This window comes from Homo sapiens, chromosome 11, assembly GCF_000001405.40.
Source record: "Homo sapiens chromosome 11, GRCh38.p14 Primary Assembly".
Classification (NCBI taxonomy): Eukaryota; Metazoa; Chordata; class Mammalia; order Primates; family Hominidae; genus Homo; species Homo sapiens.
This window is the reverse complement of record NC_000011.10, coordinates 95,609,534-95,616,995: the sequence shown is the minus strand read 5'-3', so window position 1 is coordinate 95,616,995 and position 7,462 is coordinate 95,609,534. Positions and strand designations below refer to the sequence as shown.

The 7,462-nt window shown below is 37.8% G+C and overlaps 1 long non-coding RNA gene across 1 annotated transcript; it reads left to right on the top strand.

The window, feature by feature from the left end:
* Window positions 1-1,588: 1,588 nt before the first annotated feature.
* On the top strand, window positions 1,589-5,314 carry LOC105369441 (uncharacterized). Its single transcript, XR_947931.3, has 2 exons — window positions 1,589-1,936; window positions 5,006-5,314. It is a non-coding gene; the product is annotated as an uncharacterized LOC105369441 (long non-coding RNA).
* The last annotated feature ends 2,148 nt before the right edge of the window (window positions 5,315-7,462 follow it).

The following is a 7,462-nucleotide window of genomic DNA, read 5'->3' as shown; positions in this document are numbered from 1 at the left end:
CTTTATTTTGACAACCAGTTAAGGTATTGAAATCAATTTTATTATTTTGAGACTTGATTTAAGCTTTTAAAATTGCCACTTTAGAGCAGCCTGTAATCTGGGGATAATTTTGCTCTTATACTAAGGTGATGTCCTGAGGATTCTACTTAATGATCAAGGTATTATAATATCTTTCCATTCTGGCTAGTAAGAACACAAACTATTCTCAGCTTTTTATGAGGAGTTTTCGACTTCTTGCTTTCTGGTGATTCCCCAGTCTTTGTGGCTTCATTCTCAGGTCTGCAGCTAAGTACTCAATTAAAGATTCAAGGATACCTTTATGCAGATCTCCAGGGCTCTTTGATTCCTCTTTTCAACTAAGTGAGTCTCCTAGGCTCTGGATTCTTCCCTTTGAACCACAGTCTGCAAAGTGAACATCTGGGAATCTGTAGGGCTTACCTCATTTGTTTTGCTGCCTATTGTCCAATGTCTAAAAGTCATTGTTTCAAATATTTGTCCATGTGGTTCACTGCCTATGGCTTATGAATATCTGTTTTGCATTTCCTACATTTGGCCCTGTTCAAAGTTATTTTATCCTCAGTGTCCCAAATGGAACTCTATTATTCACTCAGTCATGGTTTAGACATCATTGACATGCCATGTGCTGGAAAGTTTGTGAGGCACTAGGGAAACAGAGTGAGTGAGACAGAGTCACTATCTTGGAGAGCTACCTGAGTGTGTGGGAAACAAACTTTTAAAATTATAATTGGGCTATACGGCTACAATGTCTGCTATTATGAGAGAATTAATGATGTGTCGTGGGAAACCAGAGGAGGAAATAATTAATTATAACTGGGTTGGGCTAGGATCAGGGAAGAGTGGTTAAAGATGATTTCACGTAGGAGGTGACTTAACTGTGGTACAACTCAATAGTCTATGTCTCACAAAAAACTAATAAGCAATGAAACAACTTTTTGGCATAAGGGTTATAACTGTTGGAATTCCTAGTAAAGTTAACAAACTTGAGCACTTAAAACTTATAATAATATAAGTATAATATATATTATAATAATATAATATAAAACTTAAAATAATATAAAACTTATAATAATATAATTTTTTCTCCCATACTTAAAATGGGAGAACAAAATAGATGAGAAGTGAAGTACCATGGCAAATTTTAAAACCACAGTTCAATAGCACTAAATAATTTTTGTTTGCTTATTCCCTTGAATGATCATTCCATTTAATATTCATGACAGTTGTAGGAGATAGTGTCTTTATTATCAGCTCTCTTTTGCAGATAAACTGAAGTATAGACAGGTTAAGTAAATTGCCATAAGCCCTGCAAATGCTATGTGGCAGAGTTTGGATTCAGGCTGAGGAGATTGTAGGGTACCAGAACTGTAGTCTTAACTGTTGTTAAAGCAAACTAAGTATGGGTCCTGAGGACTCCCTACTTCCATAGTTGAGTCCTTGTGGATGAACTGTAACCTAGTTTAATAGTTAGACAAAATTGAAAACCTGACTTAATAGTATGCACCTGTAACAATGGCTGAGTGTTGGCCAATCCCAGCAGCCAAACTTCAACCACTCACAGACTGCTGGATGTCCAAACTGCATTCAAATAAGGCAAATGCTGAACTGTGACCAATCTCACCGTTTCTATACCTCACTTCCGATTCCTGTATGTCACTTTACCTTTTTTGTCTATAAATTTGTTCTGACCACAAGGCACCCCTGGAGTCTCTGTGGATCTGTTGTGATTCTGGGGGCTGCCCGATTCACGAATCGTTTATTGCTCAATTAAACTCCTTTAAATTTAATTCAATTGAAGTTTTTCTTTTGTCAGTTGGTGTCAGAAGCGGGATCCGAAGTGGAACTTCTAGCAGCCCCCCAGGACCACTGCATGACCCACTTGTGTCCATTGATCTCTCAGAGCAGTTGGGGATCCTGGGTAAGCTCCCTCTTGGATTTCTGAGCTCCACGGATTTGTGTTTTCATCTCTCCAAGTTTCTTTGAGCAAATTTCTAATCCAAACTGGGTTTGGAGTAGTTACAGAAACTGGATTGGGTCCAGGAACAGATTTGATCTGGGAATTAACTGGCTTAGATCCAATCAGAGGCCTCTTACATCTGACTGGGTCAAAAAGGACTTGGTAGTAAGCAGTAATATTGCAGGGGTTACAAAATTTGGCTTTTGAAAATTCACAGGGATTTTTGTGTTATACCCCTTTGTTTCATTTTTCTTGCATGCTTAGGTAGGAAAAAATCATTGGCTAAGTTAATCAAGAGAACCTGAGTGTGAAGCCAATATTTTAGGTAAAACTGTGCTCCTTAATTTCTGGAAGACTGAATTCCTTCTGGCTTATATTTTAGGCCTGGGAGGCAGCGAAATCTTACAGAAATGGCAAAATCTTACTAAAGATAAATTACAGTGGAAGTGAACAACAATGCATTGAAGTACATTTAAAAAATGAGGGCTCTCAGTAAAGTCCGTTTTGGCTAAGAATGGATTTGGCACTACAGCATGTCAACTCAACTGCTATTCTCTTTGGGAGAATCTGCCTTGCATTCTTTGCCAATGGCTGTGGGTGTCAGGATGAGACATGTACAGGTTTGTGGAATATGGGGAACTTTTCCCTCCCTAAAAGGGGAAACTTGAGAGATGATGGGACTGCTGGAAAAGATCCCTTTGCTACTGAGAAGCAGCCACCTGAACTTTTCACTGTCACTGCAATGGGTGACTCTTTCTCTGGCCTCCCTGATCATTTCGCCTTCCCCACTCTGCCACAGGCAATGCTTTTCTCACTCTCCTTTCCCTTTCTTATCTTTTCTATTACTCAGGGAGACCATATTGCCCAGAGATCACAGGTTAAAACTCCTGGTCAGAGGTTGGATTAACAATGATGGGGCCCAAGCAGGGGCAAGTTTGAGCCTTGCCAGTTTGACATTGGGTGCTAATCAGAGTAGCTAATGACTATATTTTGTCGCACATATTTTACTCTGGCCAGAACAATTTTCCTTTATGATGTGGCTTGGCCCCAGTAAGATGGTGTAGCAAGCTGAGTCACTAGGGCCGCTCAGGAAAAGGGAACCCAGAAGCCTGGTGTGCCAGCAAAAGGGTAAGAATTTCTTACTAGTCAGGTTTCTGGCTTCTCTCTCTCTGTGCAAATGTTTGAATGAATGGTAAAAATCACTGTTTATCTCTATCTTATTTTATGTCCTCAGGAGCTTGACCTTGTAACCATGAGGCAGTACTTTCTTTTGGTCTCTACCTTCCAGAGAACAGGAATTTTAGGTTTTATGTCATAGTTAGCTCTAAAAATCATCTTGAGTAGTTAAAGCCCTTTTCAAGATCAAAATTAACTACTACAGATTTCTTCTGGGAAATATAGTAGATATTACTCTGTCCTGTAGTTAAGGTTTTCACTCTTCACGCTGATGGTCAGGGTTTGATTCCCTGCTTAGGAAGTAGGTCCTTTTTGGTTTAATATCTGCATGACTTTGTCTAGTCTCTTCTCCTCCATGTACTATCTTAAGTTTTCCTTTCTCTGAGCACCTGGGAGGTTACCTTTGGTAAAGTTCAACAGCCAGAAATATTGGCTGTTTGGCCTGGCTAAAATTGGGTAATAAAAAATTTTTAAAGGATGTTATTAAAGAGTGCTATGGTTAAAAGTCAGCTTAATTAAAAGCAGATATTCAAGCTCTAACAGCCTGGTCTCCTTGGGAAAAACAGGAGGCACCAGAAACCCCTTTCCTGGCCTTTTTTTCCAAGGGCTCCAACCTAAAGCCAATAATCAATTAAGAAACTTAAAAATTGACAAATGAAAAATCTTACAACTACTGTAGTAATATTCTTCTGTCTGTCTGTGTAATTATATATGTGTTGTGTGTAATGTTTATATAAAAATTCTATGTGTGAACCTATTGGCTAAAGTTAAATGGCATTATTCAGTTTTTTCCCATAAATTGGACATTGGAAGAAAAGGACAACAGAGTTTGCTTACAACATTGTCCTGCTTTGAAAAAAAAATTGTAAAGGGTTATAAAAGGTTTATAAAAATCTTACCATATGGTCAAACTAACTAAACTGAATAGATTTATAAAATGTTATTAAAAAACAAACTAGCTTTACAACTACAAATACACCAATGGAAATATAAAATTTTGTTTTCTCTTTTAAAAAGGATTTTTATGTAGTATTAAAAGATAACGAAACGTTTTCATTTACCTTTTAAGTAAACTACAAAAGAAAAAGGGGGAAAGGGAAAGAAAGGAGACAGAGTCAGTTGGCCTCATGCTATCTCCATTGGGTCTTGTTTGGAAAGCTGAGTCTCCTCTCTATCAGAATAATGTTTTTTCCTTTAAAAAATTTTTGAGCTATCGTTTTGGCTAAATGAATGACTTATAGTAACCTAAGATTCTATTTTGTAATATCCAATGTTTAAAATTTTGTTATTTAACAAACCTTTCAAAATCAAACTCTAGATTATCATGCTAAATTGGTCAATACTAAAATTGTTTAAATATGCAGTTTGAATGAACTCCATGGTCTAAGTCAAATTACCTCTGATAACCCACCTAAATTGAAGAAACAACTGGTATTCAAGAGGACATAAGCCTAGTGTTAAGCATGCACTCATGAAGAACCAGGACAGCCACCTTGTCCTTCCTGATTCCTTAAAGCTTTTGTTATTAAAGGTTCTGCATTCCATGACTTGTCATGGAAAAGATAAAATAACCCAAATTGAGTATATTGATGTGGTGACATAAATTGTGGAAATAGTTTAAAACCAATGTTTGGTTCCATAGTCCTGGGAAGACAATCAAAGCTTCAGGTACATTTGGCTACCTGATGGACCATTTAACATTTATAAAGGGATTTCATTCAATTGTCATTTTCAATGCATGTTTTCTGTTTGTATAAAAGCTTTCCCATGCAAGAGGGCTGATGTTACAACAGTAGATTATTGTGCAACAGTGTATTTTCACCTAGTAAAAAAATCTTTTCATGGTTCACTAAGGACAATCCCTTCATGATCTAGAGCCTGAAGGTAGGATCTTCTGAGAACATCAGAAAAAGACTATCTCTACCATCCACACTACAGCAAAACTTTGGAGCCTTGAACCTTGGGTTCATAATCTCACAATGGAGAAGGGTCCCTCCACACTCCTAGAACTGTACATACATTGGAACCCTTAAGGTAAAACTAACCAGGAAAGTTTCTCCCCAGAAGAAGATGGCATCCTTGATGTAAACTGCTTTTCCCAAGATCACTAATCAAGACTTCTACTATTGAGAGACTTATCTTTGAATATATTTTCCTTGTTTATGTCTCTGAACAATAGAAATGAAAAGGGGGTCTATTATGTGCATTTATTTATAGGGTGTATTTTTATTTGTGAGGGATTTTGCAGCCAGCCTTACACATGAATTACCATATACTTTAATAGATAAAAGATGAAGGCCCAATGTAGGTGAGAAACTTTGGGGGTACATATGTTGCCTCATAATCAGTCAAAACACCTCTTAACCCACATCATGGATTAGAGAGAACCTTGCCAGGAGACCTTCACTCTTCTAGAAGGACATCATTTGTTAGGTCCTTTTTTCATGGTTTAGAATAAAATAGGCAATAATTAGAAATGTCACCCTCACAATAAGCTCTAGTAGAATTTACACATCAATACATCAATACACAGACAACAGACTTTAAATTCTCTTGTGAAAGATATGCTAAATAATAGAATTGGCTAAACATAAAAGTACTTGCACAGCTACTGACAGTTGTGGCCTATGGAGAAGTACATCAAATGTAAATTATACAATTTCAGTTGCGGAGGATTAATGAAAAGACCACTTAGTCAAGCGAGTAGACTCTTCATCTAGCTCATTCTTTAATCTATTTAATTTTATGTGGTTTGGTTTATGGGGACCCTTGGTAAGGAGCATACTCCGAACTCTTGCATTATCCTCCCAATAGTTATAATAATAGTCTCTCTGGGGCACTGTACTCTCTCAAAGGTTTTAAATGTTTGCAAGCAGCCATCTCTAGAATGTCAAATGGTTTCTTTTCAACTGGAATGACAAAAGCTGAAAGAAATGTGTGACCATGAGGACACCATAACCTATGAATCACATGCTTAGACCAGAAACCCAAAATGATGGTAACTGAGAGTGGCGCTAAGGCCCTAAGTTTTGGTCACACTCTCACCTACGTGAGAACTTGGCCAAGGCCAAAAGGGTTTTTTTTTTTTTTTGGACAGAGTTTCACTCTTGTTGCCCAGGCGGGAGTGCAATGGCACAACCTCCGCTCACCACAACCTCTGCCTCCAGGCTCAAGCAAATCTCTTACCTCAGCCTCCTGAGTATCTGGGATTACAGGCATCCACCACCATGACTGGCTAAATTTGTATTTTTGATAGAGACAGGGTTTCTCCATGTTGGTCAGGCTGGTCTCGAACTCCCGACCTCAGGTGATCCACCCTCCTCGGCCTCCCAAAGTGTTGGGATTACAGGCTTGAGCTACCGTGCCAGGTCGGGGATTTTTTTTTGTAAACAAAATTATGGGAGACCATTATTTTGGACTGAGCTCATACACTAGACCCCAACAAACCAAACCAAACTAAAATGGAGTCACTCATGCTAAATGTGACATAATCAAACTAAGGCTTTAAGAAAACACATAGATTCTAGAACAGACCAGGTTTTGTTTTTCTCCTGTAAACAGGATGTTCCAGCATAAGGAGGTACCCTCTACTCAGTCCTTATTCCCTTCTTTCAAAACCCACTGTTCTACTGTTTCCCAGTGGATTTCAAAACCATTTAAGTACATTTACGATAGTGATAGTAACATCAATGGCCAAGATTTTGGTCAATCTCTCAAAACCGAGAAAATGACAAAAGGAGGGAATTGTTAAAGCAAACTAAATATGGTCTGAGAAGGACCCCATACTTCCATATTTGAGTCTTTGTGGATGAACTGTAACCTAACTTAATAGTCAGATAAAATTGAAAACCTAACTTAATAGTATGCACCTGTAACAATGACTGAGTGTTGGCCAATCCCAGTGGCCATACTTCAACCACTGATAGACTGCTGAATGTTCAAACTGTGTTCAAATAGGGCAAATGCCGAGTTGTAACCTATCTTACTGTTTCTGTCCCTCACTTCCGATTCCTGTATGTCATTTTACCTTTTTTGTCTATAAATTTGTTCTGACCACAAGGCACCCCTGGAATCTCTGTGAATCTGCTGTGATTCTGAGGGCTGCCGAATTCATGAATTGTTCATTGCTCAATTAAACTATTTTAAATTTAATTTGGCTGAAGTTTTTCTTTTATCACTGTTGCATTAGCTATCTTTGCTCTCCAAGTTCGATAATGGTTCATATCTTCTTTCTCAAACATCTGGTAAAAATCTTTTAAAATAACTCGAAACAAACACATTTTAAATAACTAGCTACATAAATAAAAACTT